The 12,617-nt window shown below is 44.0% G+C and overlaps 1 protein-coding gene across 10 annotated transcripts in view; it reads left to right on the top strand.

Annotated features, from left to right (window-relative positions):
* RFTN1 (raftlin, lipid raft linker 1) overlaps positions 1-12,617 on the top strand; it is a 197,855-nt gene that overhangs the window by 103,291 nt on the left and 81,947 nt on the right. For all 10 annotated transcript variants that reach the window (XM_017006007.3, NM_015150.2, XM_047447783.1 and 7 more), the window contains exon 4: positions 926-1,034. In XM_017006007.3, coding sequence (XP_016861496.1) covers positions 926-1,034 — 109 coding nt within the window. The remainder of the gene's footprint in view (positions 1-925; positions 1,035-12,617) is intronic.

The following is a 12,617-nucleotide window of genomic DNA, read 5'->3' as shown; positions in this document are numbered from 1 at the left end:
ACCACCCATCCCCATCCCCATCCACATAAGCCTTCCCCATTCCCCAGGGGTACCTGCTATTATTGGTTTGGTGTATGTCTTGCTTGTTCTTTTTCTGTGCCCTGGCGGATATAAACCAATGGGACATAGACATTACTGGAGTGAGAGTTTGTGTGTGTGTGTGTGTGTGTGTGTGTGTGTGTGTGTGTGTGTGTGTATAACATGTAAGCTGTATTGTACCAAACCCATCATTCTATAATGATGTGTTTTACATGATGCTACATCTTAGAGGTCTTACTATGATGTGGATATGTATATATTACTTGAGTAGTTTCCATAAACCATTTTTCATCAGTGCCTTTTTGACGTTACTTTCGGGAAAGAATCTGGGGCTTCATTAAAGACCCAATGATTCTTTTTAAAAAAAAAAAAAAATATTCTGCGTCTGGGCACAGTGGCTCATGTCTGTAATCCCAGCACTTTGGGAGGCCAAGGCGGGCGGATCACCTGAGATCAGGAGTTCCAGACCAGCCTGTCCAACATGGTGAAACCCCATCTCTACTAAAAATACAAAAAAATTAGCTGGGCGCAGTGGCGGGCGCCTGTAGTCCCAGCTACTGGGGAGGCTGAGGCAGGAGAATGGCGTGAACCTGGAAGGTGGAGCTTGCAGTGAGCCGAGATCACGCCACTGCACTCCAGCCTGGGCGACAGAGCAAGACTCCGTCTCAAAAAAAAAAAAAAAAAATTAGCCGGGTGTGGTAGTGGGTGCCTGTAATCCCAGCTATTCGGGAGGCTGAGGCAGGACAATTGCTTGAACCCGGGAGGTGGGGGTTGCAGTGAGCCGAGATCGCGTCATTGCACTCCAGCCTGGGTGACAAGAGTGAGACTGTCTCCAAATTATGCAAGATATTAATCTGTTTCTGTGTGTGCTTTTCTTTCTCTTCAGATCTCAGAAAACTGATCTTCACAATGAAGGCTACATCTTGGAATTAGATTGCTGTTCCTCCTTAGACCACCCGACAGACCAGAAACTCATCCCAGAGTTCATTAAGAAGGTGAGCGCTACAGTCAGGGTACCATTGAAGAGGTTTGCGAGTGTTCCCCTGAGTGAACAGGCAGGTAGCTGCCTTAGGACAGATCAGCCACACTCAAGAGGCCATGCAAGAGCTGTGACCTAAACCTTTGGCAGCCCCACAGGGAAGCAGCCCCCTCCAGAGCTGACTCTGGAACAAGATGGCTAACCCCTCCTCCCCAGGCATGCAGGAGCCCGGGTCCTGTCTTTTCCAGCTGGAGTGGGGTTAACAGCTGACAGACCTGCAGGCCTGCGCCGGGACTCCTTTCAAACCCTCATGGTAATGTGACTTCCCAGATCCCACCTTCCTTTTATCTATGGGTCTTCATTGCCGCAAGCCCCCTTCCCTTCCTAGTGTGGAAGCATGCCAGAGTCCTGGGCCACCCACATTCGAACATACCAGGGAAAACTGCGTAGTTGCAGGGAATTCATATTTCTTCATGCCATATGAGGTTTTGTGCCTAACTGTAGGGTCTACTTGAGTTTTAATATGACATTTACTACAGAAGGAATGTCCTAGCCCCAAATTGGGGCTGAGTTCACTGCTTGATGCTTATCTTGTTCTCTCTTACCCAGTGTTCCCTAGTAATCGACAATTCCCCCACCCCATACAGGTGATTGTGATTTGAGGTCCAATCAGCCAATTAGGGAATTTGTTAATAATTATTGTCAGCTGTCAGCTTTGGGCCAGGAATAGTACTAGATGTTGGGATACAGAGAATAAAACAGCCGAACTAGTGAACCATATGAGGTTTTGTGCCTAACTGTAGGGTCTACTTGAGTTTTAATATGATATTTACTACAGAAGGAATGTCCTAGCCCCAAACTGGGGCTGAGTTCACTGCTTGATGCTTATCTTGTTCTCTCTTACCCAGTGTTCCCTAGTAATCGACAATTCCCCACCCCATACAGGTGATTGTGATTTGAGGTCCAATCAGCCAATTAGGGAATTTGTTAATAAATATTGTCAGCTGTCAGCTTTGAGCCAGGAATGTACTAGATGCTGGGATACAGAGAATAAAACAGCCGAACTAGTGAGTGTTACCAGCAGAAGTGGCCGGGGCTGAGGAGCAAGGGGATCCGGAAGGTACTTGGAGCTGAGATGGGAAGGATGACGGGGTGTCTTTGGGGATGCGGCTGTGCTCGGACAGGTCGGGAAGCCCTCCAAACAGGGAACAGTGTACATGAGGGCCTGAGGCAGGAGGGAGTGAGGGGAATCAAAAGAACGTCAGAGGGAGAGTGAGGGTCGGGAGAAGGGGCCAGAGACAGCTGGGACAGGGCTGTAAAGGCAGCGGGAAGCCGTTGAGAGGAATTTTGTATAACAGTAAAATGATTAGGCTGTCCCTTTAAAGGAGATTTGTTTCCTTGCTGCCACCCTCCCTTCAACATGTATTGAGTGTTCAGGCTCCAGGGACTCTGGGAGTAGCCGCTCATGTATGGGTCTATGGCCCATAGACCAGGAGCCAGATGATCTCTGAGGTCAGAATTTCTGGTAATTTTACTAGGATGAGGGAGGCTCTTTCTACTCTGGTAGAATTCAGATTATTATTTAAGAAATGGGGGAGGGGGGAAGTAGCTTTTGTTCACATACGCATAAGCCTGAGAACACAAGTGTTTTAATAACGCATGTAGCTTTCTATAGAAATAGAGCTATCTTTGTTTGGATTGCTGCAAATAATCAACTTGTATAGGGACATCCTAGAAGTGGAATTTACCCTATGATCCGAATACCAGGAAAAAATCATTTTAGAAATGGTTTTGTAATTAAGACTCAGATGCTTGGAATATTTGAGGGGTAAGTGAGTAAAAGAAAGGCATAAGGCTCTGCCCACTCTCAAATATGCTTTTTAAAAACATGTGATTTGAGGCTGGGCACAGTGGCTCAGCTGGTAATCCCAACACTTTGGGAGGCTGAGGCAAAAGGATTGCTTGAGCTCAGGAGTTTGAGATTAGACTGGGCAACATAGTGAGACCTCCATCTCTGCCAAAAAAAAAAAAGTCTCTTTAAAAAGCCGAGCATGGTGGTGCTTGACTATAGTCCTAGCTACTCTAGAGGCTGAGGCGAGAGAATTGCTTGAGCCCAGGAGTTTGAGACCACAGTGAGCTATGATTGCACCACTGCACTCCAGCCTGGCTGACAGAGTGAGACCCAGTCTCTTAAAAGAAAGAAAACATATGAGTTGATATGAGTTGGTGACTTTGTCTTAACCAAATTAGGTTATTGCATGGCTGACCCATTGCAGTGGTCCTGTCTCAGTTCTTCAGGAAACAGCCCGATTTGCGAGCTACTGGGGTGTTGTTTCTGTAGTACCCAAGTGGAGATGTCCATCTGTCCAGTGGGAAAGGCCCTCAAAGTTAGGGTTTTTATGCCCTGAAGGACATTAGCCAGTTTTTATCTTAACTTTTATGCCAGCATTCTTTTTTTCCCACTGATTATAGATGTGTGTATGCACATGTGTGTCTGATGATTCATTAGATAATTTATGAAGTAAATGACACCTGCTCATTCTGTGTTTGTATAAGTCCTTAACACTGTGTAGGTTCTTAGAAACTGACTTTTAGTGAAACAGCATACAGCAGGTCCTCAATTTCATTCAGTGTCATTTAGTTTTAACCTTGAGAAGAAAATTGGTTTCATTTGTCATTTTGCTCAAAGTCTCAGTTTCCAAGAACCTATTGACAACATTAAGTGAAGACTTATAGTAAGAATTCTGTTCTTAACGTTTTGAAAATAATAGGCTTTAAAGCCCATCGTATCATCCTGTTCCTGTCATACACTTGGTTTTTAAATAAGAAGACAGACTGGACAGCTTGTAAACCAGGGCAGCAGTGAGATTTCTGACCCGCAGTGTCTCCAGATGTCTATCCCAGAGTTCCATCTCTGTTCCTCTAAACAGAAATGTGGCTTACGGTCATTCCTGCCTTGGAGGAGCCAGGTGTGTTGAGGTTGCCCCACCGTTTGCCCCCGCATTGTCTGTTAGTGGACAGGGCTGGACTTGGAAAGACCTAGCATTTCTCGCTGTCATTGCTGGCTGTGGCTTTAGTTTCTAGTCCAGTTGCCATGACAACAAGAAGTGGGACAAAATAATGGGACTGGGCCCCCTTCTCCCTGCTCCTCTTTTCTGTTGCTGGCCATAATTTCTAAAGAAAATACCACCTCTGTGTGCAAAGAGCAGAGGACAATTCCACGTACCTCTCCAACACCCGTGGCTATTCCAACTGATGGCTGAATTTTACATGTGTAAATTTTTCTGTCATCACACCAGGTAGAAGACCACAGGTGCTTCCCAGGAAGAAGTATGCTAAAAACCATTTGTGGTTTTTTTCACTGCAAATATTTAATGAATAGCTTTGGCCCTATTTATATATATGTAGTGGTGACACTTGTTAATTGCAGCTCAGTTAGGTCAAGATGAAGCTGTGTCATTGGCCGCCTCAACTTGCAGTCATTTTTATCTGGGTCATTATTTTGTGTGAAATAATGGCTCCCGTTCCTATGACAAGTAGATTGATCTTAGGATGAGATGGTAATTAACTCGTTTTGTCATAGTACCATCATGCAGGACAGGTTCATATTCTTCTCTGCATATTAGAATTAAACTCAAAAGGATTAGATTTTTTCATAAGAACAATGCCCCAGTATTATTTTTCCACCAAATGTTTTAAATTAGCAGAACCTTTGGATAGAGGACACGGATAGAAGGAGGGAGAGAAGATTTCATTATTTCTCACAATTAGGAAAAGTAAAGTCATTTGTGTCTGTGTCATGTAAAATTAGCTGAAGACGCCGTAATTTATGCCTCTCTCCATCATGACTTTTCAGAGTGTGAAGGGAGTTGTGTAAAGATGATGATGACTCCATTCCTTTTGGTGTGGCCAGTTTCTCTGAGTGCTCTAGCTGGTCAAATGAAATCTACCTTACTGCATTTTGTTTTCTCCTGTTGTGTCCTGCTGTGTTCCATCCTATTGGCCCTTTATGTAAGTTATTATGGACCACAGAACATTTAAAATGCAGAGCTATGGGCAGACTTGGAGAGACTTGTTTTCTAAGTCCTAGAGCCGAATGCTCGAGGGATGAAAAATTGAGAAGCTGTGAGAGAGTGATGGTGCTGCCAGAATTCCTTTGGGACGAGGGCTCAACCAGCCCATCAGGTGCACCTGGAGACTGTGTGGCTGGCAGGTCCGTGGGGGCCTCTGGAATTTCCCACTCCTCAGGGCTCCCAGAGGATTGTAAAGCAGGCAGAGTGACACAGAATGAACAGCCTATGTGTTCATCTTCAAATTGCTGTTCATTCATGAGAGCGTCTATGGGAAAGGTCTACAGTTTGGAGAGCACTTTGAAGTTTTCAGTCATTGTGCACGTTTTCTGGCATGTACTTCTGGTCTCTCAAAAGTTCCATTTGAGAGACCAGAATGGCAGTGGAGTCTCCCTTCTAGACACCAGGAAACTAAGCTCAAGGGGCAGAGGGCTTTGTCCAGGGGCTGGAACTGCTAAATGATGGAGCCTGGATTAGACCCTCCATAGGAGAGGCACGAGTGGGCAGCCAAGGGGCTTCAGAGTGGCCAGAAGGTTCTTTGGCTAGGTGGACTGGAGAGAGCTTCGGAGAGGTGTGGAACGAGGGCTCTGCAAAGTGAGGAACTGAGACTGGAGGAGGCTGAGAGGCAAGGTGGGCAGCTCTGTGCCGTTGCTGGCATGCACAGGAGCATGGGTTGAAGGCATAAGGCTGAGGAAGAGCCAAGTCCTGTTTGACTTGAGTGTAGCTTGGACAAAAGAGAAGGAAGGCTGTTCTGGGTGGGCTTCCTTTGATTATGTGGAGCAGAGCCTTAGTCTGGCGAGCTCTAGTGAGTCAGGCGGGTTTACTGTAAAGATGTAGGGCATGGCATGGAGTCCCAAGGAAGAAATACAGGAAACCAGGAGAAAAACAAAATATATGTATATTGTGTATATATATTATATATTGTATATATATTATATATTATATATATTATATATTGTGTATATATATTATATATTATATATATTATATATTATATATTATATATAATATATATTACATATTATATATATTATATATTACATATTATATATATTATATATTATATATTATATATAAAATATATATTATATATAAAATATATATTATATAATATATATAAAATGTATATTATATATTATATATAAAATGTATATTATATATAATATATATAAAATGTATATTATATATTATATATAAAATGTATATTATATATTATATATAATATATAATATATAAAATATATATATAATATATATAAAATATAATATATATATAAAATATATATTATATATTATATATAAAATATAATATATATATAAAATATATATTATATATTATATATAAAATATAATATATATATAAAATATATATTATATATTATATATAAATATAATATATTATATATAAAATATAATATATATAAAATATATATTATATATATATATAAATATAATATAATATATATAAAATATATATTATATTATATTTATATATAAATATAATATAAAATATATAATATATATTATATATAAAATATATAATATATATTATATATTATATATTTTATATATAATATATAATATAATATATATAATATATATATTATATATTATATACATAAAATATATATTATATATATATTATATATTATATACATAAAATATATATTATATATATATTATATATTATATACATAAAATATATATTATATATATATTATATATTATATATATAAAATATAATATATGTGTGTGTGTGTGTGTCTCTGTCTCTGTCTCTCATATGCTGCTGGCCCATGTTTGTGTATCTATGGTTTATTTAAATTTAAAATAAGATTTTACTCTGCAGAGGGAATCCTCCTCATGCGTTAGGCAAACCTTATGCTGAAGTGCTCATGTCTACTCTACCCTTAACCCTCATCTCATGCCTGTGAAGACTTATCCTCATTTGACAGATGAAGAAACTGAGACACAGAGAAGCTATGCAGTTTGCCAATGTTATAACTGTGCATGGCAGGACTGAGATATGAACCCAGCCTGTTGGACCCAGGGACTGTGTTCTAGAGCACTTGGCCATGCTACCTCTCCTGTATAGCTTGTCCCTTTCTGGACAGAGGTGGAGGCTGTCAGAGCCAGAATGTGAGGTTGAGCATAGGAGGCAAATGGCCATAACGCGTGTTGGGTACATGGGGTCAGATGTTGGAGTGCCTTGAAGGTGTCCCCTCAGTGAAGGATGGGCTCCAGGCCCTTGCCGCCCAGGTTCTGCTGATGGAAATTGCCTCGTCCTGCCTGCGGGAGAAAGCCACGCTCCCTGCCCTTGTCCAGATAAGACATGGTGGCCTTTGCCTTCAGGCCCTCAGCTCTGGGCTCTGTTCCCCAAGTTGACTCCCTTTTGTGATGGAGCTCCTGACCTCCCTGATCTCCTTAAGAACTAGGTTCATCTTGCACTGGCCCACTGAGCCTTTGCAATGAAGACCGTTGAGGGGCGGCTGGTCCCACTCAATGAGTGTACTGTCCTGGATTAAACCGAGTACATTGTCCTTCAGAAAACCGAATGATGCTACTTATGCCTCAACCTAAAGAAAGCACCTTGACAGATGGAAAAATCTCAATGGCTTCTTTTAATGAAACAGAATATCCCAAATCTCCGGGATGATGAAATTTTGCCTGTTATGTAAATGACTCATCATTTACTTTCTGGCTGATTGTTGAGTATTCAGAGTTTCATTTCTACAAGTGCGGTGCAGAGAGTCTAATTTTAATTAGGGTAAGATGCCAATTCAGAGTGAAATGAAAATTATGTTAAAAAGGCTCTCCTGTGCTTGCTGCACCAGAACCCACCCACAAACCAAGAGAATAGTGACATTTAAAAAAGATGAACCTGGGGAGGGGGGTTGTTGAGGGGAAGTAAAGGCAGAAAATGGAGTGTCATCCCAGCAATGAGTGTGTCTTCAGAGTGGAAGACAGTGAGCTGGCGGCTGGCGCAGGCCTTGCAGGGGGCAATGGGGTACCCTGCTTACTGTTGTGTCTTCAGGACTTAATACATAAGCGTCGAGTTAATGGATACATTGAAAGAGAAAGAGGAATACTCACTAAACCTTCGTGTCATTGAAGGAGAGAGAGGTGCCAAGGATGACACCTGGGTGACTCAGGTGTGAGATGGGGTCATCTGTAAGGACCAAGAACACAGCATGAGGAGCCCTGGGGGCAGAGAGGTGATGAGAATGGGGATGGTTGTATGAAGACTTGAGGGGTCAGGGGGACACTCAGGGAACATTCCAGAAGGCAGCTGTGGTTGTTGGGCTGGGACTTGCAAGAAAGCCAGGAACAGAGATGTGGGTGTCTGAGGTGTCAACCCTGAGAGCAGGCAAGAATGGTGGTAAGGATGGTCATCCAGTGGCACATGCCCATCTCAAGGGGCAGTTTCCACTGAGCCTCCGCTCTCTGATGCCTGGTGGAAATATGGACCCAAAATTGCAAGATCTGTTGTTTGGTTGGGCACCTGGCTGGCTTTGTTTTAGAGAAGTTAAGTTTATATTTTCTTGTGAGGTTTCTTGGTTTTTCAGCGTAAGCAGACAGATCTATTAAAAAGACTGCAAGATCTAGACCAGTTTGTCTCACGCTATCTGTGGTGAAGGACCAGTTTTTTGCCAATTCATAACAGAGATATACTTTGGTAAAATCCAGAGAAAGAAAAATAGCACTTTTCCAAGGTAGAGGGAGGAACAGAAGAGTGTGATGTTACAGAATCCAGGGGAAGAGCATGCTTTGAGAAGAGATGGAGAATAGTATCAAAAGCTGGGAGGAGGTCAAGTGGGAGGGGCCCACCGGGTTTGGCCACTGGATGCCACGGGTAAGTTTTGCAAGAGCAGTTGTCATAGTATAAAACAGGCAGAGGCCTTCCTGCCATGGGCTTAAGTAAATGTGTCTAGAAGGACAGAAGAGCAGTTTACTTTAGGAGATTTGAGATCCCCACCCCGTCTTTTTTTTTTTTTTTTTTAACACGGCTTCATTCCGTTGCCCAGGCTGGAGTACAGTGGCACAATAACAGCTCACTGAAGCCTCGACCTACCCAGGCTCAGATGGTCCTCCTGCCTCAGCCTCCCAAGTAGCTGGGATTACAGGCGCGAGCCACCATGGCCAGCTAATTTTGTTACAGACAGGGCTTCACCATGTGGTGTCAAACCAACAAGGTTTTACCAGGTTGGTCTTGAATTCCTGGGCTCAAGCGATCGGCCCCCATTGGCTTTTCAAAGTGCTGGGATTCCAGGCATGAGCCACCATGCCTGGAAGATTTGAACATTTTTTTCAGCTGAAAGGTATTGGGAGAGAAGAGGTGATAAAAGATGGAGGCAGGTTCCAGGCAGGGCGAGGTGGGAGGGGCACAAGGTAATGGGCATCCCCTCCTTTGATGCTGGCAGGGGAGGGAGGAGGAAGGTTACAGGCTTAGATGTTCCTAATGGAGGAAAAAATGCAGGAGCTACTGCCTGGAGGCCGCTGTTTTCTTATGAAGTTCCTCTCCCACCCTGGCCTCTCTTGATCCTCTGTCCTCTTGCTATTTTTATTAGCCTGTGATCTTCCTGTTCTGTCCAGAGAGGTTCGCTGAAGTTAATTTAAGCCGGAGGGAGGGAAGGGGTCATACGCTTGTCTCAATCACTCCCCAAAAAAGGAGATACTTTCTTGTGCTTCATTTTCTCCCTCTGCGGGAATCTACTGTCCAGCATCAGTGGGTCAGGTTTCGTTCACATTTCTTTGAACAGATCTTTGCTGGTAGTGTTTGGGAATACTTTAGTAAGCCGGTCTAGGTAATGCCCTGGACACGTGAAACTTAGAGTCTAGCTGAGGGCACAGACACAGAGCAGATGGGCACATGAGGGTTGTAGGATCACAGATGGGTGAGCGCTGTCGAGTAGAACATGGCAAGGGGCCTGCCCCAGGCTGGCAGTGTTGGGGGAGTGCTCCATGAAGTGTACATACCAAGACCTGAGGGTCAACAGGGGAGGGAGGGTGGAGGTGGTGGGGACTCCTGGAGCAGCTCAGACAAAGCCAAGGTGGGAGGGAGTAAGTTTGGTTTGAGGAGCAGAAGGGAGTTCACTGTCTTGCCTGCAAATGACAGAGGGGTGAGTGAGGTGGAGTGAGGCTGGAGAGTGAGTCGGGTCCCCATACAGCCCTGCAGGCCAGGCTGAGGATGGGGCCCTTTATCCTAAGTGTAGTGCAAAGCTGCTGGAGGGCTTTCAGGAGCAGCTGGAGAATGATTCCTAAATGTATACTTTGGAAAGATCAGAATGGCTGCAGGTTAGTGACTGGCTTCTGGGTCAAGAGTGGGTGTGGTTAGGACCCTGTTGGAGTAACTCTTCATAGACAAGAGATCGTCACTTAGTTTAGGTGGAGCGTCTTGACAGAGATGTAGAGAGGTAGATCTAAGAAATATTGAGCCAGGCAGACCACCAGGGTTGCTTCTGGATGGGGTAACGAGGCACCGTGGAGAGGGAGAGGACAAGGCTGGTTTGGCTCCTGCAGTTGGATTAATGGGCCCTTTGCTGAGATAAGGATGACTGCAGAATGAGCTGTGGCATCTGTGCTTCAGGAGCTCTGTGCAGAGATCTGGGCTGGAGACGCCTGCTGGCAGATGGTAACTGAAACCACGGTCATGGATGAAATCGCCCAGGAAGGAGGGGAGGGTGTGAAGGAAAAAGGCCTTAGGGCTGAGCCCAGGGGAATTCCAGCATTCAGAGAAAAGAAAAAGTAAGTAGCCAGAGAGGTCAGTGTGAAACTTGCTGAGTGTGGGGGATGGAGGCCAGGGGAAGAGGGCATTTCAGCGATGGAGGAGTTATCAGCCCTTTCCACTAACCCCTAAGACTAATGTCAGAAACAGCTATTGCTGGAGTGGCCATGAAGTCACTGGCAACCTCCACAGAAGCATATTTTTGTGAGGCATGATCCAAAATGTTTTTGGGGTACAATTAAAAACCGCTGCCATTTATCCTATAGAGGTCTTGTGTGTTTTTGCCTTAGTCCTAGGATAGTTCTGAGGTTGTTTTTTTAAAATTTAAAATTTTAAGATGTTCTTTTTTTTCTCATGGGTTTGCTGAATTATCTTCATTGTTCTCCTTAATATAATTTTTTATTGAGCAATTGGTTTTAATATCTGACCAGGGAATTAGATCTTGCCCATGTAAAGCATTAAAATTTTATGTAATTTTTAGCATTTGGAGCACATATCATATGAAATAATAATAAAATGACTTATAGTTAAATCAGAAAGAAATAACAACTTGGGATCCCTAAAAAATGTGCACAGAATAGACAAGTGGCCTATTGTTAGCTCTGTGGACAGCCTGTGGCTGCTGTGAGGCCTGTACTCCTTTGTCGTCACTGCAGAGAAATTACCCCACATCCAAGGAAGTAAAACTATTCTAGAGCTAGTGCAGGAGGCAGATGACCAGAGGAGAAGCAGAAGGTAACCAAGGGGAGGTGGCAGCTGTGTGACCAGGAATGCTTTGTTCCAGGGAGAGACTGGGCCTGGGCATAACACTCTGTCATCTCAAGGTGACTTTCCAGCCACCCAGGGGATGTCTCCATTCCGCTTGTTGCTAGGAGGTTGATGGTATCAAGGCTGACATGACTTTGCCTGAGGCCTGGTGTTTTGGGTTGATTGTAGGCCAACCTGGGAGCTCCTGAAGGTGAGGGGTGAGCAGCTGCTTCTCCCGGACCTGGCTGTGGCCATGGGGCACCTGGATGTTACTTTGTCCCTACCCTATTGAGATGGGTCCCAAGGTAGACTGGCAGTGGATGAGCTGGGGCAGCCCACAGCTTCTGGCCCCTGTTGTCTCTGAACCATTCTTGCTCACAGCAGACACTCATGTTTGTTTTTGGCCAAGAGTGAAGCCTAAAGGGCTGAAGATTTGGAGTTTCTGTTTTCCATCCAAGCCAATGGCTCTTGATTGCACCCTCCCTGGAATGCTGCTGGGTAAGAGTTTTCCTTCTCCAGTATGTTTCAGAGGCACACACGTTGTAAGTAAGCCCTCTTGGAGAGTCATGATGCTTCTTTTTTTTTTTTTTTTTTTTTTTTTTTTTGAGACAGTCTTTCTCTGTCACCCAGGCTGGAGTGCAGTGGTGCGATCTCGGCTTACTGCAACCTCCACCTCCCGGGTTCAAGCCATTCTCCTGCCTCAGCCTCCCGAGTAGCTGGGATTACAGGCGCCCGCCACCACGCCCAGCTGATTTTTTCGTATTTTTAGTAGAGACGGGGTTTCACCATTTTGGGCAGGCTGGTCTCGAACTCCTGACCTCGAGATCCACCTGCCTCAGCCTCCCAAAGTGCTGGGATTATAGGCGTGAGCCACCGCGCCCGGCCCATGATGCTTCTTAAAAGAGTCAAGGCTCTGAAGAGGTCCCGGGTGCAAAACTTGCTTGCTTGGTTTAACTTGGCATTCTTCAAAATGACCTGAGAACTTTCTCCTGGCTTTTCCTCCTCTCCAAATACCGCTCTATTTTTCAAGGTGAGAGAAAGAAAGAAAAAAGAAAGAG

The sequence above is a fragment of the Homo sapiens genome, chromosome 3, assembly GCF_000001405.40.
Source record: "Homo sapiens chromosome 3, GRCh38.p14 Primary Assembly".
Taxonomy (NCBI): Eukaryota; Metazoa; Chordata; class Mammalia; order Primates; family Hominidae; genus Homo; species Homo sapiens.
The sequence above is the reverse complement of the archived record's forward strand: the minus strand, read 5'-3'. Positions and strand labels throughout refer to the sequence as shown.